At 41.2% G+C, this 25,739-nt stretch overlaps 1 protein-coding gene across 20 annotated transcripts in view, besides 2 other annotated features; it reads left to right on the forward strand.

The window, feature by feature from the left end:
• Positions 1–25,739, forward strand: part of AIG1 (androgen induced 1) — a 284,671-nt gene that overhangs the window by 226,018 nt on the left and 32,914 nt on the right. Inside the window, exon 5 of one of the 20 annotated variants that reach the window (NM_001366357.1) lies at positions 22,898–23,286. The exons of the other annotated variants lie outside the window; for them this stretch is intronic. Within the exon in view, the coding sequence (NP_001353286.1) occupies positions 22,898–22,931 (34 nt within the window). The 3' untranslated portion in view covers positions 22,932–23,286. Of the gene's footprint in view, positions 1–22,897; positions 23,287–25,739 lie in introns of those variants that run through there. 20 annotated transcript variants of the gene reach the window in all.
• Positions 3,415–4,298: an enhancer, noted in NCBI's record as "OCT4-NANOG-H3K27ac-H3K4me1 hESC enhancer chr6:143609782-143610665 (GRCh37/hg19 assembly coordinates)". NCBI's record gives its function as "activates a minimal SCP1, AML or CMV promoter by ChIP-STARR-seq in naive H9 embryonic stem cells {active_cell/tissue: H9 hESC(naive)}" and the evidence as "EXISTENCE:reporter gene assay evidence [ECO:0000049][PMID:30033119]".
• Positions 14,445–14,494: an enhancer, noted in NCBI's record as "active region_25196". NCBI's record gives its function as "activates an Ori minimal core promoter by ATAC-STARR-seq in GM12878 lymphoblastoid cells {active_cell/tissue: GM12878}" and the evidence as "EXISTENCE:reporter gene assay evidence [ECO:0000049][PMID:35858748]".

The raw sequence follows: 25,739 nt of genomic DNA on the forward strand, positions 1-25,739 counted from the left end.
CAAATCTGAGCAGAAAGGAGATTTGCTTCAGGAAGTCACACCCTGTGGCTGGATATAAGGGGACATCCAGAGGATGTCCATGTGGACAAGCATGAGCCACCGCGTCCAGCTGGGAGGAGCTTTACGACCATGTGGTAAAGCTCCTCCCCAGCTGGGTGCTGTGGCTCACGCTTGTAATCCCAGCACTTTGGGACGCCCAGGCAGGCAGATCACTTGAGACCGGGAGTTCGAGACCAGTCTTGTCAACATGGTGAAACCCCATCTCTACTAAAAATACAAAAAATTAGCCAGGTGTGGTGGTGGGCGCCTGTAATCCCACCTACTCGGGAGGCTGAGGTGTTAAGAATCTCTTGAACCCGGGAGACAGAAGTTGCAGCGAGCCGAGATCACGCAACTGCACTCCACCCTGTCTCAAAAATAAACAAATAAATAAATAAGCTTCTCCCATTGGCCCCTCCATCAACTAGTAAAGACCACTTGCAAGGACTAGGGAAGTATTTGTTTTCCTAATTACTTTCTAAGTTTTTTGCCTCATCCAAAACCTTAAGTGTTGACTTTCTCTGATAAAAAATGTCCAAATGATCAGAACTCACACCTGCAATATGACTAAAGTTGTGTCTTAAAAATAGATTTATGTCCTTTATACATATGAACTTATATTCAAATGAGTGTTATCTTTCAGAATAGTCAAGTAGGGAGGCTGCACAATTATTCCAGGGATGCCACAGATGTTTAAAACATACCTGGAACTTCCTATAGCCATAGTTTAAAAATCAGTCTCGCATCCCACCCCCACCCCAAATACGGTCTTGTTACTTTGCACTCATATTTGCTTACCTGTGGAAAAGGCAAGTTCTTTACTCTGGGAACTCTAGGTATATTTCTGCAAATTCATTTATATGCTATTAAATTATCTGCATCTTGTAGAGCCCCAGAGATTTCAGGAACTATGTACTTTCTGATGGCCTGTCTTCCATTGTGGGTAGAATCAGTCCACGTTCCAAAGAGACACATGGGAAATACCACATAGTCCTCATTATAGACCCCCAAGATCCCTCATTAAAATGAAGCATTACTCATTCTCTGCATGCCAAGTGAGGCTTGCCAGCTCTGCGTACTCCCTAAGCAAACCAGTACTTGTTTGGACATGTATTTACATTAACCAGTGAATTCTCTCAGATTTGTTCTGAGAAAGCATTCAAAGTAGACTTTTTCCTTTGGTGTTCTGCCCTGGGCATTCATAACTGTGCCAAATGCTAAACAATGGCCCTCACGTCATGTCCCATTATGTAAATCCAAGATTTTAATTGTTATCAAAAAGGTACTGGCTTTTGCTTCCTTTCAGACTATGTTAGGGCCGACATACCCGTGACACAACAGCCAAAGGTTCGGGATATGAAATCTTTTGATAGCATACCAGGGTTGTAACTGGACATTCCAGAGCCCCATGCCAAGATGAAAGAAAGCATTCCTCTCATCACATGTAAATTATAAAAGAAATAGATGGCCTGTGCAATACTGAGTAAGGTTGAGCTAAATCTATACCTCAGGGGCTGACCAGGCTGCTGGCTGTTTTGCTGGGACTCTAACTTGCTATCCAGTGGCCCTCCGCATCTGAATCTATTCTCTTCCCAGGTTTGGGTAGTGAGAGTAGAGAAAGTAAGGGATACCTGGACTTTCCCCACTGACTGGTTCCCATTGAGCTCCCATTCTCGGTGGTTCTGTTTCCCAGCCCCGTTGCAGTCCTCCCCAAGCTTAGCATCTAAAGGCCATCCCGGTCTCCTTCCGTGATGACTTCTGCCTCCCTGCCATGTTTCTCTTTCCCCCAGCCCAAACATCACCTGTCCATTTGTGGGAAGCTCTTAACTCCTTTCCTGGACACCCCCCTCCATCATCAACCCTCCCACACACACATTTCTCTGCACCCCGTTTGTGAGATTTTCCCTAATCAATGAGAGGACCCTTAGCATTCCGGATACATACAGAGGTCTCCTTGGTGTCTGATATAAGAGTTTAAGTATCAGGAATCATAATGGGTACCATTCCTTTGAGCCAGACACTGTGCCAAGTTCAGTTCAAATATTATCTTATTTAGTTCCCCAAACAGTCCTTAGAGATAGGCATGATCTTGCCCATTTTACAGGGAAGTATGCTGAAGTTTAGAAAGAGTACATGACTTGCCCAGGGTGAGCCACTGGACTCTTGCCAGAACTACGGTGCAAGCCCCATTGTGTGGCTGCAGATTGTAGTCTGTTAACCGGACCCTCCACTGCCCTTGCTGTGTGAAGAGTAACTCTATGAATGAACATAGTGAGTTTTTTATTTTGTTTAGAAGAAATACATAAGAACCAGCCAAGCCTGGTAGCTGAGGCCACTTTCTGGGTTGGAAACATTTCTAGGCTTTAGCTTAATCAGAAGTAAAACAGAGAGGAGGACAGAATGTACCCCATAGTTGGAAAGACACTGTTATTGTATATAAAGCCCATAGAACAATGCCTGACTACAGTAAAAAAAAAAAAAAAAAAAAAAAAAAATCTATATTTGCTATTTATCAGTCCTGAGATGCTTCTCAACAAATAGTAGTATAAACAGTAATGTTTCCTTTTCAAGGCTTGAGAATTTTAGTTACCATAAGTGTTTTCTCTTCTTTTTACTCATTCTGGATCACTTGCACAAAATCAAAAACAATTTTAATAGTCATAAACAACTCTAAGGGATATGAAAATATCTTTTTTTTAATTATAAAAGAATGATTAGGAAATCTTACAGGGGTGCTGGGTAACACAGGGAGCTTTAAGATCATGGGCTCCTGTCTCTTGTCACCTTCTAGTTGACATGTATAAAAGAGAAGACATCTTTGCTCCACCTGGTGCAGCCGTCTGGGGCTGAATCTTTTCCCGGGCTGGCTCCACCCTCACTTCCAAGCACCTGGAATCCTTGTCTCTGCAGTTCTGCTTCTCATTGCTCTGCCTTTCAGTCTGCAAGATACAGAAAGAGGAAACCAACTCAGACCCTAGGAAATGTACACCCTCAAAGCTTCAAGAATGGTCTCTCTCCTAAGGAGTCTTCTTCCAGCCCCTGGCTATTCTCCCTCCTTCAGGGGTTTCTCATTCAATCAGAGCCCATGTGAGATCTCAGAAGCCATGTATAATACGTGCTGATCTCTCAACCCAGGACACATCAAGAGCAAGTAGGCCTTAGTGAAGGGGACAAAATGGATCCTGGGTGTTTCCACTTATGGATAAATATTCCTTGTCAACTGCTGTGAGTGTATTTAAAGCAAAATAGAGATGTCTGTTGTCTCTGCACCCTAGTGGTTTTAAACAAATTCCATATTCCAAATCTCATTTCCCCAAATGTGTTCACTGAATAACTTTCCAACACAGAAAATAAAACAAAGTCAAGTCAGAAGTGTTAATGGAAAAAGCAAACTCTGTAAAATATTTAAAGAGGTTTATTCTGAGGCAATACGAGTGACCATGGCCCAGGAAACAGTCTCAAGAGGTCCTGAGAAAGTGTGCCCAAGATGGTTGGGTTACAGTTTGGTTTTATACATTTTAAAGAGACAGAAGTTACAAGCAAAGACATAAATCTATACCTGTAAGGTATGCATTGATTTGACCTGAAAAGGTAGGATGTCTCAAAGAAGTAGTGGGTGGTTACAAGTCATAGGTGAATTCAAAGATTTCTGTGGTTGGGAGTTGTTTGAAAGAGTTAAGCTTTGTCTAAAGACTTTAAGTCAGTAGAAAGAAATGCTTGAGTTAAGATAAGGGAGGTTGTGGAGACCAAGGTTCTTGTTATGTAGATGAAGCCTCATACGTGGCAGCCTTCAGAGAGAATGGATGGTAAATGTCTCTTTTCAGACCCTAAATGGCATCAGGCTCTTTGTTAATCTCTCCTAGATCCAGGAAGGTCCTGGCTGTATTAATGGAGACTCTCTACAAATGCAAAGATCCCCCACAAAAGATGGCTCTGCAGAGCCATTTCAAAATATGTCAAAGAAATATATTTTGGGCTAAAATATGTTTGATTTCCTTCAGGACCTCCTATCTGTTATGTGATGCTACATCAAAATCAGGTTGAAATGTGGAATCTTATTGCCCCAAAGAGTTTGTTTTGTCAGTCTTATGATCTCTATTTTAATGTTAATCCTGGTCAGTTGTGCCTAAACTCCAAAAAGGAGAGGGTACAATTAGGCATGTCTAACCTGCCTTCCCCTAATGGCTGTGAGTTCCATTTTTCAGGTTTCTCTAGGGTCCCCTTGGCCCAGAGGGGGTCCATTCAGTTGGTTGAGAGGCTTAGAATTTTATTTTTGGTTTACAGAATGAAGTATGTTCATTCTTTTATGATCATTCCTAAATTATTTCATGTCAAAATTCTATCTCCCACAAAATTTGATTATCTCCTAACTGGGCAATTTTGGATGATTTTTTTGGCTTCTTGTTGAAATGGTTTTGTACCTCAAGTTTCTGCTGGAAACATACATTATTTTTTATTTACATACAGTATTTGTAAGCCAGAGAAAAAATTCTCAAACATAAAAATAAGAGTGTACTCAAATTTTAAAGTCTTAGAATTTTTAGCCATGAATGAGTAAAATTTTTAGGAAAAAATGTGTACCCTCTTTACTAAGAAAATGAAATTTTAGACCACATTCAATTCCTTCCATTTAATCAGATGTTTCTTCACCAGTTAAACAAATCTGGCCGACACGTGTTCTTTGACCAGCAGATGACATTTTTCTCTATTCAACTTGAATCTTTCACTCCACCATAGCTGTTGACTTTTACATCTGTAATGGTTTGTGTACATTTTTCTGATTTTCTGGCATTGGAGAACCGAGTCCAAGATGAATGAAGGTGATAATGTTACTGGCGGCATATATGTATGGGTCTGCAGCAACCTCAGTTCTTGCCGCCTCAGAAGAAATAATTTGACCAAGGGGCATAAGGCAGAGTGAGACTGAAGCAAGTTTTAGAACAGGAGTAAAAGTTTATTTAAAAGCTTTAGAGCAGGAATGAAAGGAAGTAAAGAACACTTGGAAGAGGGTCAAGTGGGCAACTTGGGAGATCAAGTGTGCAGTTTGACCCTTTGACCTGGTGTGTTATGTGTTGGCGTGCTTCCGGGGTCTTGTGTTCCTTTCTCCCTGATTCTTTCCTTGGAGTGGGCTGCCCACATGCACAGTGGCCTGCCAGCACTTGGCAGGGGCCGCATGCGCAGTGTGTTTACCGGAGTTGCGCGCATGCTCACTTGAGGCATCCCCCCTTACCAGTTGAATGCTCCTGGAAAGTCATATAACAATTAAACTCCACCATTTTTCCTCTTAGTGTGCATGACTGAGCCCACTCACCCAACTCCTGAGATCTTATCAGGAAGCTGTTGATCATGAGCTTTAGGTGTCTTTCTCTATTGGGAGACTGCCTTTCCCTGGTGCCAGCTGCAACCAATTATTATTTTAGAGAGGCAGTTTTAACAACAACCGACTGACCATCACCTGATGGTTGCCTGACATTCTTGTTTGTTGGGGGGTGGCAGGGGGATGCTCTCCTGCCCTTTCACGTCTGACTAGCTACCTGCTGTAACAATAAGTATCTCACATTCTGAAGAGAGCTACCTTTCTTGGGGCTTACAAGAGACAGCCGAAGGACTCTGCTCACTTACTATCACCAAGGCCATCCATGCTTCACTATGCCCGTCTTCCCCACCCTCTTCCCAAGATGGGGAAGAGGGACAGGGTCTTTGCAGTCTTGAGTTTTGGATCTAGGGGAGCTGTTGGGGGAAGGAAGGGCCTCTCCACACTGACCAAAGCCAAGTGTGAGGCTCTAAGAGAATCCCTGGTAAATAATAGCTATGAGGCAGGAATTTAGGAAGCTGACTCGTTAGCCTTCCTTATATCTCCTATTTAAGCAAGGAAAAGAGTCTTGGAAGGATATGGCAGGGCAGAGGGAGGGGGAGCTGTAAAGCCGCCTGTGATCCCATCATTGTACATGTCAAAGTTTCTTGTAGATCTGGTTTGACATAGAGGAAGGTTGCTGGAGTTGAGCTGTCTTGATGGTGGCCCACCCAAGAAAGAATGGCTCCTGGGCAAGAGTTTTCCAGCAGCAGGAAACCATGGGGTGTGCTGCCCTGGACAGGAGCCAGGGGGTGTTAAAGAGGTCTAGCTGGAGCCAGCCAGATCCCCCACATAAGGAAGCTCTTCATTTCAGAAACCCTTCAGAGACCCCTGCAAACCTCACACTTATGCACCCGACGCAGAGGTGAGCACCTGGACTTCAGCCTCACAGCACTAATCAGTGGGAAGCAGGGATTTGCCAATGACAGGGAAAGCCCCTTGCATAAGCACAGGCAGTGAAGTCAGAAGATATTCATCCTTCTTCCATTTCCCCCGCCAGAAAGGAAAGAGGCATCTCAGAACCAGTCCACGTCCTCCTCTTCTACTTCAGGGTCTTAGAGTGCATGGAATAAATAAGTAAACCCCCCTCCCATTCAGGGTTCCAGCAATAAGCCTGCTGTGTTCAAGGAAAGCAGAAGGCCACTGTGTGTTGAAGCAGAGTGAGGGAGAGTGCACAGAGCTCCTAGGGTGAGGGAAGGAGAGCATTAGAGGCCACTGGAAAGACTGTCCTTAATTCAGATTGGCAGTCATTGGAAGGTTTGGACAGAGACTTGACATGAACTGAGACATTTCTAAGGAATCACTTTGGCCAATGTGTTAAGAGTGGATTGAAGGCAAGGGTAGAACAAGGAGAAGAGAAGAGAAGGCTATAGAAGAAATCCTGATAAGAGATGAAGTGGCCTGGACCCTGGTGGTAGAAATGGCGTTAATAGGATTCTGGATATATTTTGAAGGTAGGGTCAATAGGATTTCCTGGCCAAATTTAAATTAAACCCTGGACTCAGCCCCTTTAATAATGTTTAACCTTGGTATGGAAGGCAAAATAATGCTCACCACAAGCCCCCAAAGATATCCACATCCTAAAATCCCCAGAACTTGTGGATATGTTCCCTGACATGGCATGTGGCAAAAGGGACTTTGCAGGTGTGATTAAGGTAAGGACCTTGTGATGGACAGGTTAGCCTGCTTTTGCAGGTGGACCCAGTCTAATCCCATGAATCCTTAAGAGTGGAGAGCCATTCACAACTGTGGTCAGAGAGAGACATGACTGCCGAAGGACAGTTAGAGAGATGCAGTGGAGAAAGGACTTGAACTGCCGTCACTGGCTTTGAAGACAGAGGAAGGGGCTGTGAGCACGGAACAAGGGCCCCCTCTAGAAGCCGAAAAAGGCAAGGAAAGGGATTCTCCCCTAGGGCTTCCAGAAAGGAACTCAGCCCTGCTGACACCTTAATTTTAGCTCAGTGACACCTATGTTATACTTCTAACCTGTAGAATTCTCCGATGAATATGTGTTGTTTTAAGCCACAAGTCTGTGGCAATGTGTCATAGTAGCAAGAAAAAAACGAATACTTGAACAAATCACTTAATCTCTATGGGCCTCAATTTCCTTATCCGAAACAAAAAAAGCATGATGATAGTGATCAGGCAGGATTGCCGTGAGCATCAGAAAAATGGGTATACAATGTCCAGCACCTAACTGGCACTCAGTTCCAGTGGCCATTGTTGTTCTGTTTATACGCTAGGAATACTCCATCCTAAGAGAGCCTCAGCTTAGTTCTTTCTGCAACTTTCTTCCCTCACGAACCTTACCCTGGAAGGCAGAAGTCTAGATCTTTGAAGTTAGATGCTCCTTGTTTAGTTCCCGTCTTCCTCGGGTCTTTGAGCAAATTACTTATCCTCTCTTAGCCTCATTGTTACCACCTTTAAAATGGGAAAGAATGCCTGCCTCACAGAGTTGTGAGGATTAATGAGCCCATAGGGATGCTCAGGAAATGAGAGCATCTTCCCTTCCTCTTAGGCGACAAAATTCCTGAATGCCTGCAGAGACCCTAGGAGAAAGGCTCATTTTCTTTTTTTCTCTCTCTCTCTTCCCCGCCACCCTTATTTTATTTTCATTTTATCCTCTGTTCTTCATACGGGCTTTGGTCCTACTTTACAGCATGTGTGGCTCTTCATAACCTATTGAGAAAGTTAAAGAGTTTTCTGAAATTTTCTTATGGTTCATATATTAAGTTATTTCCGGAGCTCTGCTTTTCCCATGAGATTCGAGAATGTCATTGCTTTCCCATTATTCCAATCTGCGTATTTTTACAAGCACTGTGCTGAGAATGCACTATTTTCTCATCTTCTAAGGAAAAGTCTATCTGGGCAGTTGAAAGCCTGACAACAGAGAGTATGTCTTGCCCTTGGTGCCTGAGAATGTCCACTTGGGTGTTGGTCAAATCAGCTTCTTAGACCTGCATCTGGACAGAAAAGGCTTGTGTATATAATCTGTCTCAATCCCCAGTATTTATTATTCTGAGTTTTTTGTTCTCCTACCCCCAACAGCTGGTTCTCAGACATTCTGGGAGTACATGAAGAACTAGAATTCCCCATGTGCTATTAACCTTGCCCCACCCTGAAGTCATGTTTTATGTGGTTATGATCCTTCCCCCACTCCCCAGCTTCCCTACAGCCATGCCTACACCACTGCTTCTTTTCCCCATAGTCTGCCCAAATCACCAGTGTGATGCTGCTTGTGCTCTTGATGCTACTTGGCAATTTTCCTGTGGATTTCTCCAGCCATCTCTATCCACTCCCCTCCACCTCCACCTCACTCTCCCAGTCCTCCCAGCAGATGGCCTGGCCTTTTATTTCACAGAGAAGATAAAAGACTCTAAACAGGGACTCCTTCGATCTCCCCCTACAAACATCATTTCTGCACCCATCCTCTCTTCACCTCCTGAGACAATAGGAAAAGGGCCTCTATGTTTTTCAGCAAGCAATCCTTCCTTCTGGACTCTGGCCTCATACCCTTCTACCTCTCCTGGGACCCCATTCATGCCCATCACTTCATTCTCCTGTAAGTTCAGTCTCACTGCTGGATCCTTTCAATCAGCATCTGAACACACTGTAGTCCTAGTCTCCACCTTACAACATTGCTCTTCTTGGACCAGCCCCTGTACATCTAGCTGCTTCCCTATTTCCCTACTCACAGCTGAGTGCCTTCAAAGAGTTGTCTGCATTGTCTCTACTCTCACACCGCAAAGGCTTAGAGACAAGGTGGTATAGTGGTTGAGATAGTGGATTCATGAGCCAGACTGCCTAAGCCTGTATTCTGCTTCTGCCATATGAACTGGGCCAAGTCACTTAACCTCTCTGTGCCTTGGTTTTCTCATCTGTAGAATGGGATAATAATAATAAGTCTCTCATCAGATTGGCATTACCATTAAACTAATACTACTCTTTAGTATATGTAAAATGCATAGGACAGTAACTCACACAGAGAATGTACTGTGGCTTCAGCTGTCATTACTTTAGCAAAATTTTGGCTGATGTCACCAGTGACTTCTCCTTTGCTGAATTTATGGAATGCTCTGTAGACCTCTTCTCAATTGACATTTCAGCAATTTGATACTAAAACAAACCCCCCCTCTTCCTGATACACTCTGTTCCTCTGATTTAGGTGTTGTAACCATTTATTTTCCCTCCATTCTGAAGATGATCCCTCTCAGCCTCATTTGCTGGCTCTTTCAACTCCCCCCAAACCTCAGTGTTGGAATTCTTCAGAGCTCACTTCCAGGTCCTCTTGTTTTACTACCCACTCTCCCTAGGTAAACCCATCCACATGTGTTTGCAATGCCTCCATTTCGGAACTCCATCCCATACCTCTCTCCTGAACCTACTCCATATCTACTCACTTAGCAACTGCAAACCAACCTCATGCCATGCCAGATGTCTGCATCCCACCCCAAACCTGCATCCCCTTGTCATCATCCCAAAACTAGTTGTTTATGCTGGAAATCTATGAGACATCCTCAACCCATCTCTCTTGGGCCCACTCCAGGCAGTTGTTCACCAGTTTCTGAGTTCTGTACCTCCAGTGTACTTGTAGAATCTTTATGCTTTGCTCCATCTCCACTGCCAACACTATGGTCCAAGCCTCAGTTATCTCTCCTCTCAACCACTGCTAGAACTGTCTATCCAAAGGATCCCAGAGTAATCTTTTATAAACAAATGTCATCATGCTACTCCCTTGCTCCAAGACTGTGGATGACTTCTCATTGCTCCTCAAGATAAGAACCAAAATTCCTTTACATGTTTTAGGGGGCCCTGCATTACCGGACCCCTGCTGACCTCTGGCCTCATCATATTCCTCCTTCCCTTTTGCTTGCTAGCTCCAGACACAGTGATCTTCTCTGATTGTCAAAAGCAATAAGCTTCATCCACCTTCAAAGCTTTCACTTTCTTTGTGCCACAAACAAATCCCACCTCTCCCCCAGTCATGTCTCGCACCAGTGTTAGTTTCAAATCCTGCTCCTCTTTCAGGCCTCAACTTAACTCTTTTTCTCGGGGAAGCCCTCTCTGATTCTCCAGACTTGGTTCAGCTTCTCTGTGCTACACTACTATAATCTGTTGATTTCTGCCAGGGGATTTAAAAAATAGTTGAAGTTTTGTGGTTATTTGATTAACTCTTTCTCCAAAGTCTGCCCCCAAAGTCCCCTCCCTTCACTATCTAGAGCAAGAAAGAGAATTAGCACTTCAAATTATCTTAAAGAAAATAAAGAGGGCTTCCTTGTCTCCAGTATTCTAAGAGTTAATCCAAGCACATTTTCTTTAGACATTACATCAATAAAATGCCACAGAAAATATTTCTAAGATAGACTTTAATAAGAGAAATTGCAACAGTGGGTTTTAGATGCAAGCAAATAGAGAAAATGAATATATATTACACATACACACACACCCACACACGCACACACATACACACACACCCCTACCTCTCTTACACTTAGTTCAATGGTAACCATATAAAGGGTTTACGACACCCCTGCCATCCATTTCTCCAATATTGAATTTCAGCTTTATTGTCTCTTCTCCCACCTGCCTGATTCATTTAAATTGCCAACTGAAGCTGATAAAGTTGTAGCAGAAACCTCACAGACTGCGCTCCTTGCCAGAGTGACTGACATCCTATAGGAGAGATGACCTAGTTCAGGCAATAAAAACATTCCACATAGAGGAAATATTCATTAATTAGCAAAATCATAACCTCTTCATTTCCCCGAGGGGTGCCTTCTTGGTGTCTTTGAGAGTATGAGAGCATTTTGAAGACTCAGAACATATTCTCTTGTGGGCTGCATGGGAGGGTACATGTATGTGAGCATCTTCACAGGGACCCCTATCCTGCCCAGTCCCACCTTTAGCAGATGGTTCCCACAGCTGACAGTAACTGAGAGGAAACCAGTCCCCAGGCATTTGTATCTCCCACAGCACCCAACAGAGGCACACATTAAAATCTGGTTAAAAGTAAACAATTCAGATGAAGAGTTATCTGTGCCAGAGATGAGCTTATACCCCAAGAGTCAACAGAAATTTATAGCCTAAAAGACCATTTGCTTGTTATGGGATGGAAATGGCAAGAGAAACTTGATCTAAAATAGCCATATAAAACATTGACTTTGTACATGTAAGTAGACCCATTTCCCTAATAATTTTCAAAGTAAGAGAAGCAACTGGCTTATTGTTATTGTAATATTTTAATTCTCCAATATTCTGAAAGATCTGGGTACATCTTGACTGGTGACAAAGTTCATTAACTCTCTCAAACAAGCACTTATTGAGTGCCTACCAGGTGTCAGGCATTATGCCAGGTGCAGGAGGTAGACTATGGAAGAAGCTTCAGCTCTGTCCTCAAGGAGCTTACAGTCTATTGAAGGATACAGGGAACTAAAAAGCAATAGTCATCCAGTTGATAACTGCTATTTGCAAGAGGAAAATAGAGTCTACGGAAGGTTCTCTAACCCAGACTTAGAGAGTTCTGAAAGGCTTCCCGGAGGAAATGACATGTAAGCTGCCTCTTGGAGGGTGAATAAGAGTTAGCTTTGTGAAGGTCCAGGATAAAAGTGTCCCAGGCAGAAAAAGCAGATGGCCTAGAAGCAACGGAGAGGAAACCATAGTCAGGGAGCCAAAGCAGTTCAGTGCACCTGGACCCATTGACATTTTGCCCTCCTCCTGTCACTGCAATATATATTCCACCTCAACTCTCCCCACCAAAACTGTTTTCATTTTTCCTTTCTACAGCATCCTTCTTTGACTGGTTATTTCATGATTGGGTGGGTGGTTATTTAGATGATTGGTTGGTTGGTTGGTTGGTTGGATGGTTTCTTGGGTGGTTGGATGGATGGTTGGGTGGTTGGATGGATGGTTGGGTGGTTGGATGGCTGGGTGATTGGATGGTTGGGTGGTTGGTTGGGTGGGTGGTTGCTTAGTTGGGTGATTGGTTGATTGGTAGAGTGGTTGGCCCATTTCCTGTAACACTGCTCCTACTCAGCCTCCTTGGGAGGCCCCATTCTTCATACTCTCTGATGCTCTAGCCCTCCTGGCAAGCTTTCATACACTGCCTCTCCTCCAATTTTCATGTCTCAGCCAGATAGTTTTTTTAAAATGCAAATTTTATCCTGTCAATCCTCCTACTTAAAAGTCTTCAATAGTTTATTTTTTCCAGTTTGGGTATTTTTTTTTCTTTCTGGTAGCACTTTTATTCTTCCTTGCACAATGACGTATCCTTGGGCTGTGATATTCTCACGCAACAGTAGAAAAACAAGATGTGTAAGTCACCCATAAAGCTGAGAATTACGTACAAAACTCTTACATAAATTAAAATGATGCATAAATTTACAGGTAAAAATACAAATCATTTTGCAACTAGAATGAGTAATTTAGCCCTGTGACATTCTGCTGCAAAAAAAAAAAACATTGGATAAGAAAGAAAATGGAGTCCTAGAGCCTGGGTTATGTACGTTTTCTACCTCTGCTGGAAGACTGCAACAAAGAAGTGACAATTCATTCATAAATTCTTGCCAGCCTCTGGAGAAATCCAGGAATTGTCATTTGTACTCTGTGGAGATCTGATCAGGCCCTAGAGGAGTGAACAGCTTGAAAGAAATTGTCAGTCAGCCAAAGACCCATCACATCAGGCCAAGTGCCTTCTATAAACATGTTCCCCTTATTCTCCCTTTGCCACACAAAGTGTCTAGCCACACATGCTAAACTTAAGCCAAAGATATGTAAAGAATGTTAGAAAATGTATTATAAAGAAATAGTTAATATGAATACAAGGTGAAACAGTGCTATTTGCCTATCAGACAAAGACAGGTATCTTTTTAAAAAGGCATCTTCCAAGTAGATAAGTCTAATATAAGATGCTATCCATTTAAAAGTAGCCAGGTGTGGTGGCTCATGTCTGTAACCCTAGTCAGGAGGCTCACCTAGGCCCAGGAGTTCAAAACCCAGCCTGGACAACATAGCAAGCTAATAGTCCCAGCTAATCAGGGGGCTGAGGTGGGAGGATTGCTTGAGCCCAGGAATTTGAGGCTGTAGTATAGTATGCTTGTGCCACTGCACTCCACCCTGGGCAACAGAGCAAGACTGTCTCTAAAATTGCAGTGGGCAATGGGCAGGTCAAACTCATCAGACTCTTGCTTGCTATTCCACATCTGCTGGAAGGTCAAGACAGTCGCTAGCCACAGTATGTGCACTCAGAAGAAGGGAAATCTTAATTTTTATTGTGTTTTTTTTTCCCAAGGCTGTGACATCTGTCTGTGTTCTAAAGCCAGTAATAGCAGGACACATGGTAGTACTACCAGACCAGATGGGATGTGTTGTGTTGGCATATAGATCTTTTCTAATATAAGCATCACATCTCATGGGTGACATGGAAGTGCTATCTTGAGTGCCACTGCTTTCATACCTGAGGAGGATGGCTGAAAAGAACTTCTGGGTCTATGACTCTCTCCTTGACAGAGGTGATCAACTGACTGTGAGGGAGCTTAGTGGTCTTCTCCAGGGTAGATGGTAAGCAATGGTAGCTCCTGTTTGACATCCAGGACAGAGCAGTACCACTTCTCCTTAGCATCATGTACAATTTCTTCTCTGCTGTGATAATGAAACTGTAATCTCTTCTTCTCACAGTCCTTAGGAATACTCTTCCAAGTCTCAGCTAGCAGAGTCGAGAAATAGCATGACATAGGGCAGGTGTAACTGTCATAGAAGGGCATTGTGTGGGTGCCACAATCATCTAAGTCTACCAGCAGTATATGACCAGAAGCATTACAGGAACAGCATGGCTGGAATAGCAGTACACATAGCTGGGCTACTGAAGGTGTCAAACAGAGCCTGTTACAGGTGTCATCAATTGATGGACATTTGGTTTGTTTCTTTTTGGCTAAAGATGGAAGTTTGAAGTTATGAAATACCCATATGCTTAAAGAGAGAAATGAGTAGCAGAGGGATTTCAAGCCACTGAGAGGGTCTGATTGAATTCGAAAACCACAGTATGATGCTGCACAGTCATGTAATTTATGACACACAAAACTCTTCAACAGTAGGCTCTGCCTCTTCTCAGAACGCCACACATCAGCTCTGCTAAACTGCTTGTAGTTCCACGAACTCACCTCTGGGATTTGCAGTGTTCTTCTCTTTGCCTAGATAATTTCCTTCCAGGTCTCACTGCCATTCCCAATCTAACCTTGAGTCTGAGATCAGATGTCACATCCTCCAGAAGCTTTCCCTGACATTCTGAGTCAGTGTCAGGTGCCCCTTTCAAGTGGCACCCTCCATTCACCCCATCATAGCATTTCTGACACTGCTGTGAAACATCCACCGTGCACCACCACCGGGCTAGAATCTTATGGGCAAGCACTGTGACATTCACCAGATGAGCCCCATGTCTGGCATGATGCCTGCTGCCTAAGAGGGGCTCAATAAATTTTAAAGGAATAAATCAGTGAATGAGTGGTGCATACTTTCAGAAACATGGATCTATGAGGGTTGAAGATGCTGAGAACTAGGACTGGGGACCAATGAGCATGTCACTCCAACACATTGGCAGTGGAAATTCTTCAGAGATGAATTTCTGCACTTTTAAAAATAGAGAACTGGAGTAATTAATGTTTGTCAAAACATACTTGTTTGTATTTCTGGACAAGTTTTTATCAAAGTTAAACATAAATCTTTCAGAAATATTAGCTTTGCAATTCTCCCGTTTTCTTTGTCCACATTTGGCGCTCCACTCTTGAATGATGGTTTCTAGAACACAACTGGAAAGAGGCAAGAGTCTATTTACCCAGTTGCACACAGGTAGAAAAGAATAAGTTACCAGCCAGGATTCCCAGTGTAATCTAGCATTAGAGATAACCCCTGATAGACATCAGAAGAGGGTGTAAGTCCCTTTTCAAAAGAAAAAATTAAAAACTACTAGTGATATGCCTTCCCTAACCATTGCTTTCAAAGACCTTTTAAATTATTTTTGTTAATTAAAATTTGACCATGTATACTTCTAAAAATTACTAAATTAAGGAAAGTCTTGATTTTTATAGCATATTGAGTTAATACGGATATTGCTTGACTTGACCAAATAAATTCTTTAAAATAGCCACACACAGAAAATAGAGCTATATTTTTTAAATTGTATACTGTAAGCCTTTGAATGAATTTTCCATGAAGAAGGCATCATGGAGAAGAATAAATGTCTGACACATACAAATGAGGTGAGGACAAACTATTGAGATGTAGCTGGCAATGATCCAGCTTCTTAGTTCACTTTTAATAGTTTATTTTATTTTTATTTTTATTTTATTTATTTCTTTTTTTTGAGACGGAGTCTCGCTCTGTCACCCAGGCTAGAGTGCAGTGGCACAATCTCAGCTCACTGCAAGTTAATAGTTTAAGTTCATGTATCTTTAAACTAACTGTGTAGCTTGTTTTTATAAAAGACAAATATTGGGAGATGGCCATAAGTTGACTCTTGCTTTGCAAACCAAAGTGTATCTTAAAACAAGTTCCCCTGTGCTTATCTAATAATGAGTTTGGACAAGAATAATGCTGCCTCGGATTGCAATGTTCAAGGCAGTCATTAAAGTTAATAATCAGTGCTCTTGTATAGAAGCTTTATGCCTAACATTGATCAGCCCTTTATTGTGTGGCATTTGCTAGTATTCAAGTAGCAAGGAGCTCACCACAAAGGCCATCAGGTAGGTTTCCATGGTAGCAGTCTTTCTTTTGTTATTCACCTTGGTAACACAGACTGGGTGCAAGCCCCAAGCCTTGGCAGCTTACACGTGGTGTTGGGCCATTCTCACGCTGCTATGAAGATATATTCAAGATGGAGTCATTTATAAAGGAAAGAGATTTAATTGACTCACAGTTCTGCAGCACTGCGGAGGCCTCAGGAAACTTACAATCATGGTGGAAGGGGAAGCAAATACGTCCTTCTTCACATGGCGGCAGCAAGAAGTACAGAGCAAAGGTGTGGAGAAGGCCCTTTATAAAGTGTCAGATCTCATGAGAACTCACTATCAAAAGAACAGCATGGGGGAAACTGCCCCCATGATTCAATTATCTTTACATGGTCCCTCCCTTGACAAGTGGGGATTATTATAATTCAAGGTGAGATTTGGGTGGGAACACAGAGCCAAACCATATCAGACAGTATCCAAATACTCACCATGTCACTGCTTAATGAAAATAAATAGAATATTGATAGTGCTAGTAGAGTCAAGAACCTGGTCTCTGGGTGTGACAACAAGGCAAGGCATGATGTCTACCAAGGTTTTCTTTTAAGCAGCTGTCCGCTAAGCTGGACTAGTGTCCTTTTGATCTTATTCCAGGTTAATAACCCTCCGTTGTCTTATATTATTGCCCTGGAGACAAATAGAACTCAATGGTGACTAGAATAGTTTCATTAATGCTGAATCTTATGAAAGACAAGTTTGTGATTGCACAGTAATAAAAGTACAATATAAAAACTATGGAAGAAAAGAGAATTCTACTTTTTTTTTTCAGAGAAACTAACACTTTTATTTTTTTATTTTTTATTTTTTTCTTTCTTTTTTTTAATTTAATTTTATTATTATTATACTTTAAGTTTTAGGGTACATGTGCACAATATGCAGGTTAGTTACCTATGTATACATGTGCCATGCTGGTGTGCTGCACCCATTAACTCCTCATTTAGCATTAGGTATATCTCCTAATGCTATCCCTCCCCACTCCCCCCGACCCCACAACAGTCCTCAGAGTGTGACATTCCCCTTCCTGTGTCCATGTGTTCTCATTGTTCAATTCCCACCTATGAGTGAGAATATGCGGTGTTTGGTTTTTTGTTCTTGCGATAGTTTACTGAGAATGATGATTTCCAATTTCATCCATGTCCCTACAAAGGACATGAACTCATCATTTTTTATGGCTGCATAGTATTCCATGGTGTATATGTACCACATTTTCTTAATCCAATCTATCATTGTTGGACATTTGGGTTGGTTCCAAGTCTTTGCTATTGTGAATAGTGCCGCAATAAACATACGTGTGCATGTGTCTTTATAGCAGCATGATTTGTAGTCCTTTGGGTATATATCCAGTAACGGGATGGCTGGGTCAAATGGCATTTCTAGTTCTAGATCCCTGAGGAATCGCCACACTGACTTCCACAATGGATGAACTAGTTTACAGTCTCACCAACAGTGTAAAAGTGTGCCTATTTCTCCACATCCTCTCCAGCACCTGTTGTTTCCTGACTTTTTAATGATTGCCATTCTAACTGGTGTGAAATGGTATCTCATTGTGGTTTTGATTTGCATTTCTCTGATGGCCAGTGATGGTGAGCATTTTTTCATGTGTTTTTTGGCTGCATAAATGTCTTCTTTTGAGAAGTGTCTGTTCATGTCCTTCGCCCACTTTTTGATGGGATTTTTTGTTTTTTTCTTGTCAATTTGTTTGAGTTCATTGTAGATTCTGGATATTAGCCCTTTGTCAGATGAGTAGGTTGTGAAAATTTTCTCCCATTTTGTAGGTTGCCTGTTCACTCTGATGGTAGTTTCTTTTGCTGTGCAGAAGCTCTTGAGTTTAATTAGATCCCATTTGTCAATTTTGGCTTTTGTTGCCATTGCTTTTGGTGTTTTAGACATGAAGTCCTTGCCCATGCCTATGTCCTGAATGGTAATGCCTAGGTTTTCTTCTAGGGTTTTTATGGTTTTAGGTCTAACATTTAAGTCTTTAATCTATCTTGAATTAATTTTTGTATAAGGTGTAAGGAAGGGATCCAGTTTCAGCTTTCTACATATGGCTAGCCAGTTTTCCCAGCACCATTTATTAAATAGGGAATCCTTTCCCCATTGCTTATTTTTCTCAGATTTGTCAAAGATTAGATAGTTGTAGATATGTGGCATTATTTCTGAGGGCTCTGTTCTGTTCCATTGATCTATATCTCTGTTTTGGTACCAGTACCATGCTGTTTTGGTTACTGTAGCCTTGTAGTATAGTTTGAAGTCAGGTAGCATGATGCCTCCAGCTTTGTTCTTTTGGCTTAGGATTGACTTGGCGATGCGGGCTCTTTTTTGGTTCCATATGAACTTTAAAGTAGTTTTTTCCAATTCTGTGAAGAAAGTCATTGGTAGCTTGATGGGGATGGCATTGAATCTGTAAATTACCTTGGGCAGTATGGCCATTTTCACGATATTGATTCTTCCTACCCATGAGCATGGAATGTTCTTCCATTTGTTTGTATCCTCTTTTATTTCATTGAGCAGTGGTTTGTAGTTCTCCTTGAAGAGGTGCTTCACATCCCTTGTAAATTGGATTCCTAGGTATTTTATTCTCTTTGAAGCAATTGTGAATGGGAGTTCACTCATGATTTGGCTCTCTGTTTGTCTGTTATTGGTGTATAAGAATGCTTGTGTTTTTGTGCATTGATTTTGTATCCTGAGACTTTGCTGAAGTTGCTTATCAGCTTAAGGAGATTTTGGGCTGAGACAATGGGGTTTTCTAAATTTACAATCATGTCATCTACAAACAGGGACAATTTGACTTCCTCTTTTCCTAATTGAATACCCTTTATTTCCTTCTCCTGCCTAATTGCCCTGGCCAGAACTTCCAACACTATGTTGAATAGGAGTGGTGAGAGAGGGCATCCCTGTCTTGTGCCAGTTTTCAAAGGGAATGCTTCCAGTTTTTGCCCATTCAGTATGATATTGGCTGTGGGTTTGTCATAGATAGCTCTTATTATTTTGAGATACGTCCCATCAGTACCTAATTTATTGAGAGTTTTTAGCATGAAGCGTTGTTGAATTTTGTCAAAGGCCTTTTCTGCATCTATTGAGATAATCATGTGGTTTTTGTCTTTGGTTCTATTTATATGCTGGATTACATTTATTGATTTGTGTATATTGAACCAGCCTTGCATCCCAGGGATGAAGCCCACTTGATCATGGTTGATAAGCTTTTTGATGTGCTGCTGGATTCAGTTTGCCAGTATTTTATTGAGGATTTTTGCATCAATGTTCATCAAGGATATTGATCTAAAATTCTCTTTTTTGGTTGTGTCTCTGCCAGGCTTTGGTATCAGAATGATGCTGGCCTCATAAAATGAGTTAGGGAGGATTCCCTCTTTTTCTATTGATTGGAATAGTTTCAGAAGGAATGGTACCAATTCCTCCTTGTACCTCTGGTAGAATTCGGCTGTGAATCCTTCTGGTCCTGGACTCTTTTTGGTTGGTAAGCTGTTGATTATTGCCACAATTTCAGAGCCTGTTATTGGTCTATTCAGAGATTCAACTTCTTCCTGGTTTAGTCCTGGGAGGGTGTATGTGTCCAGGAATTTATCCATTTCTTCTAGATTTTCTAGTTTATTTGCGTAGAGGTGTTTGTAGTATTCTCTGATGGTAGTTTGTGTTTCTGTGGGATCAGTGGTGATATCCCCTTTATCATTTTTTATTGTGTCTATCGGATTCTTCTCTCTTTTCTTCTTTATTAGTCTTGCTAGCAGTCTATCAATTTTGTTGATCCTTTCAAAAAACCAGCTCCTGGATTCATTAATTTTTTGAAGGGTTTTTTGTGTCTCTGTTTCCTTCAGTTTTGCTGTGATTTTAGTTATCTTGCCTTCTGCTAGCTTTTGAATGTGTTTGCTCTTGCTTTTCTAGTTCTTTTAATTGTGATGTTAGGGTGTCAGTTTTGGAACTTTCCTGCTTTCTTTTGTGGGCATTTAGTGCTATAAATTTCCCTCTACACACTGCTTTGAATGTGTCCCAGAGATTCTGGTATGTTGTGTCTTTGTTCTCGTTGGTTTCCAAGAACATCTTTATTTCTGCCTTCATTTTGTTATGTACCCAGTAGTCATTCAGGAGCAGGTTGTTCAGTTTCCATGTAGTTGAGTGATTTTGAGTGAGTTTCTTAATCCTGAGTTCTAGTTTGATTGCACTGTGGTCTGAGAGACAGTTTGTTATAATTTCTGTTCTTTTACATTTGCTGAGGAGAGCTTTACTTCCAACTATGTGGTCAATTTTGGAATAGGTGTGGTGCGGTGCTGAAAAAAATGTATATTCTGTTGATTTGGGGTGAAGAGTTCTGTAGATGTCTATTAGGTCCACTTGGTGCAGAGCTGAGTTCAATTCCTGGGTATCCTTGTTAACTTTCTGTCTCGTTGATCTGTCTAATGTTGACAGTGGGGTGTTAAAGTCTCCCATTATTATTGTGTGGGAGTCTAAGTCTCTTTGTAGGTCACTCAGGACTTGCTTTATGAAACTGGGTGCTCCTGTATTGGGTGCATATATATTTAGTATAGTTAACTCTTCTTGTTGAATTGATCCCTTTACCATTATGTAATGGCCTTCTTTGTCTCTTTTGATCTTTGTTGGTTTAAAGTCTGTTTTATCACAGACTAGGATTGCAACCCCTGCCTTTTTTTGTTTTCCATTTGCTTGGTAGATCTTCCTCCATCCTTTTATTTTGAGCCTATGTGTGTCTCTGCACGTGAGATGGGTTTCCTGAATACAGCACACTGATGGGTCTTGACTCTTTATCCAATTTACCAGTCTGTGTCTTTTAATTGGAGCATTTAGTCCATTTACATTTAAAGTTAATATTGTTATGTGTGAATTTGATCCTGTCATTTTGATGTTAGCTGGTTATTTTGCTCATTAGTTGATGCAGTTTCTTCCTAGCCTTGATGGTCTTTACAATTTGGCATGATTTTTCAGTGGCTGGTACTGGTTGTTCCTTTCCATGTTTAGTGCTTCCTTCAGGAGCTCTTTTAGGGCAGGCCTGGTGGTGACAAAATCTCTCAGCATTTGCTTGTCTGTAAAGGATTTTATTTTGCCTTCACTTATGAAGCTTAGTTTGGCTGGATATGAAATTCTGGGTTGAATATTGGCCCCCACTCTCTTCTGGCTTGTAGAGTTTCTGCTGAGAGATCCACTGTTAGTCTGATGGGCTTCCCTTTGTGGGTAACCCGACCTTTCTCTCTGGCTTCCCTTAACATTTTTTCCTTCATTTCAACTTTGGTGAATCTGACAATTATGTGTCTTGGAGTTGCTCTTCTCGAGGAGTATCTTTGTGGCGTTCTCTGTATTTCCTGAATCTGAACGTTGGCCTGCCTTGCTAGATTGGGGAAGTTCTCCTGGATAATATCCCGCAGAGTGTTTTCCAACTTGGTTCCATTCTCCCCGTCACTTTCAGGTACACCAATCAGACATAGATTTGGTCTTTTCACATAGTCCCATATTTCTTGGAGGCTTTGTTCATTTCTTTTTATTCTTTTTTCTCCAAACTTCCCTTCTCGCTTCATTTCATTCATTTCATCTTCCATCACTGATACCCTTTCTTCCAGTTGATCACATCGGCTCCTGAGGCTTCTGCATTCTTCACGTAGTTCTCGAGCCTTGGCTTTCAGCTCCATCAGCTCCTTTAAGCACTTCTCTGTATTGGTTATTCTAGTTATACATTCGTCTAAATTTTTTTCAAAGTTTTCAACTTCTTTGCCTTTGGTTTGAATTTCCTCCTGTAGCTCGGAGTAGTTTGATTGTCTGAAGCCTTCTTCTCTCAGCTCGTCAAAGTCATTCTCCATCCAGCTTTGTTCTGTTGCTGGTGAGAAACTGTGTTCCTTTGGAGGAGGAGAGGCTCTCTGCTTTTTAGAGTTGCCAGTTTTTCTGCTGTTTTTTCCCCATCTTTGTGGTTTTATCTACTTTTGGTCTTTGATGATGGTGATGTACAGATGGGTTTTTGATGTGGATGTCCTTTCTGTTTGTTAGTTTTCCTTCTAACAGACAGGACCCTCAGCTGCAGGTCTGTTGGAGTTTGCTAGAGGTCCACTCCAGACCCTGTTTGCCTGGGTAACAGCAGCGGTGGCTGCAGAACAGTGGATTTTCGTGAACCGCGAATGCTGCTGTCTGATCGTTCCTCTGGAAGTTTTATCTCAGAGGAGTACCTGGCAGTGTGAGGTGTCAGTCTGCCCCTACTGGGGGGTGCCTCCCAGTTAGGCTGCTCGGGGGTCAGGGGTCAGGGACCCACTTGAGGAGGCAGTCTGCCCATTCTCAGATCTCCAGCTGCGTGCTGGGAGAACCACTGCTCTCTTCAAAGCTGTCAGACAGGGACATTTAAGTCTGCAGAGGTTACTGCTGTCTTTTTGTTTGTCTGTGCCCTGCCCCCAGAGGTGGAGCCTACAGAGGCAGGCAGGCAGGCCTCCCTGAGCTGTGGTGGGCTCCACCCAGTTCAAGCTTCCCAGCTGCTTTGTTTACCTAAGCAAGCCTGGGCAATGGCGGGCGCCCCTCCCCCAGCCTCGCTGCCGCCTTGCAGTTTGATCTCAGACTGCTGTGCTAGCAATGAGTGAGAATCCATGGGCATAGGACCCTCTGAGCCATGTGCGGGATATAATCTCCTGGTGTGCCATTTTTTAAGCCCATCGGAGAAGCGCAGTATTGGGGTGGGAGTGACCCGATTTTCCAGGTGCCGTCTGTCACCCATTTCTTTGACTAGGAAAGGGAACTCCCTGACCCCTTGCGCTTCCTGAGTGAGGCAATGCCTCGCCCTGCTTCGGCTCGCGCACGGTGCGCTGCACCCACTGTCCTGTGCCCACTGTCTGGCACTCCATAGTGAGATGAACCTGGTACCTCAGATGGAAATGCAGAAATCACCCGTCTTCTGCATCGCTCACGCTGGGAGCTGTAGACCGGAGCTGTTCCTGTTCGGCCATCTTGGCTGCTTCCACAAGAATTCTACTTTTTAAGGTATAAGGATAACATTGAGGAATGAAAACAGCTTTGGATTTTTGTTAGTTTATGTGTCCTCATTTTTTCCAGTGACTCAACACCTGGGCTTGCTCATTGTCTCTATTGTCTAAAATAAATGCATTCTGATAAGCGTCACTTCTCTTTGATTGTGAATTGATTATTTGAGTTCATAGCAGCATGTGGGGGCTTTGTTATGCTGTCTGGCTTGTTCTGAGGTCAACAGGGAAGTCAACTAGTACTCAGTCATTCAAATAAGGAGAATAATGTACTCAGACTTAACATTGTTCTGGTATTCAGTCCTACCAAAACATCATTTCTGCCACTTACTCAGGAAAGAGTAAAAGCTCTAACTCTTAATTTAATTTACCTTTCTCCTTCCTATACGATACCTGAAAACATTTATGAATGAGTACGCCTTTAGTGCCTCCATTTTAGTTACTTTAATCTGTGAAATTTCCACAAAGCATTGTATGGCTTTCCCTTGTAGTTTTAGCCTTTATCATAAACAGTCTGAGTGTAACATCCATAGGGGTGTGTAAAGTTTCTGCCATATATAAAATATATTTAAAAAATATATTTAAAAGAAAAACTACAAATACCAAAGCCAAAGAGAAAATCTTGAAAGAAGCTGGTGGTGGGGAGTGGGAGAGTGGGGGGCTTCCTTTTACTTATAGAGAAAGAGGATAAGAATTATAATATACTTCTCATCAGAAATCATGCAAGCAAGAGGGGAATGGAGTAAAATATTAAAAGTATTGAGTATTGAAAGACAAAAGCCGTCAACCTAGAATTCTATATCTAGGGAAATTATCTTTCAAAAGTAAAGAAGAACTATTTTCTCAGACAAGCAAAAATGGAGAGAATTCATAATCCACAGACCTACCCTAGAATAAATATTAAAAGATGTTCTTCAAGGAGAAGAAAAATATAGTTCAGAAACATGGATCTACACTAAAAGAAGAGCATAGAATAAGGAATAAATAATCCTGAAATAAAACATATGATTTTTCTTTTTAAGTGAGGTATTAGAGAAGTGCTTTTTAATGTTACAAAGGCAACAACTTATTAGCTGATTATAGTATAGAAAAATTATAAAAAGAAATACTTTTAAGAATCAGAAGTATTGTAAGAGAGAAGAAAAAGCAGAATCATATAAAATACTCAAACCAAAGAAAACAGAAAGGGGGAAGGGCATAAAAAAAGAAAGAAATGCCCAGTGCAATGAATAGAAAGCAGTTAAAATATGGTAGTTATTAATCCAGCTATATCAATAATCACTTTAAATGTGAATAGCCTAATACACCAATTAAAAGACAAAGATTATTACATTAGATAAAATAACAAGACTAAAATATTATACATGTTTCTACAAGAAACTCACTTTAAACATAAAGACACAGCTGGGCTAAGAGTAAAATGATGAAGAAAGATATGCTAACACTAATCAAAATAAATCTGATGTTAGCTATATTAATTTCAGACAAAGCATACTTTGAACAAGGAAAATTATCAGAGATAAACAGGAGTACTACATAATAATGAAGGGATTAATTCACCAAGGGGACATAATCTTTAATGTATATGCACATAACAACAGAGCATAAAAATACATGAGACAAAACTGATAGAACTGCCAGGAAACATAGGCATATCCACTATTATAATTGGAGACTTCAACACCCCTCTTTTAGCAATTATTAGATAAAGCAGGCAAAAAATTCATACAGATATAGTTGACCTGAACAACCATCAATCAACTTGATCTAATTGACATCTATAGAATATTTTATTCATCAAAAGCAGACTACACATTCCACTCAAGCTTATGTAGGACATTCACCAATATCAACCCTATTCGGGGCAATAAAACATATCTTAACAGAGTTAAAAAAATAGAAATCATACCAAGTATGTTCACAGTCAACATGGGAGTTAAACTAGAAATCAATAAAAGAAAAATGGCTAGAAAAGTCCAAAGTATTTGGAAATTAAATAGCACACTAATAAATAACCCATGGTTCAAATAAGAAGTGGCAAGAGAAATTTACAAATACTTTGTACTAAAAGAAAATGAAAATATAACTCACCAAAATTTTTGAGATGCAAGGAAAGTAGTGCTTAGAGGTTAATTTAACATTAAATGCATATATTAGAAGTTTCTAATCTGATGTAAGACTAGAGAAGGAACAATTTAAGTCAAAAGTAAGAAGAAGAAATGAAATAATAAAAATTAAAGAAGAAATAAATAAAATTTAAAAAAAAACAATAAAAGCCAAGGCTGATTATTGTAACAGATTGATAAAATTATAAAACTCCAGCCAGGCTCAACAAGAAAAAAAGAAAGAATATACAAATTATTAATATAATAAATGAAAGAGGAATCCCACTACTGAGCCTATGGACATTAAAAGAATAATAAAGGAATATTATGAACAACTCTATGCCCACAAATTTGATAATCTAGATAAAATGGATCAAGTCCTGGAAAGAAACAATCACCAAAACTCATGCAAAGAGAAAAATAATATCTTAATAGACCTGTCTCTATTACAGAAATTGAATGAATAATTAGTAACCTTTTAAAACAG

Source organism: Homo sapiens, chromosome 6 (assembly GCF_000001405.40).
Source record: "Homo sapiens chromosome 6, GRCh38.p14 Primary Assembly".
Classification (NCBI taxonomy): Eukaryota; Metazoa; Chordata; class Mammalia; order Primates; family Hominidae; genus Homo; species Homo sapiens.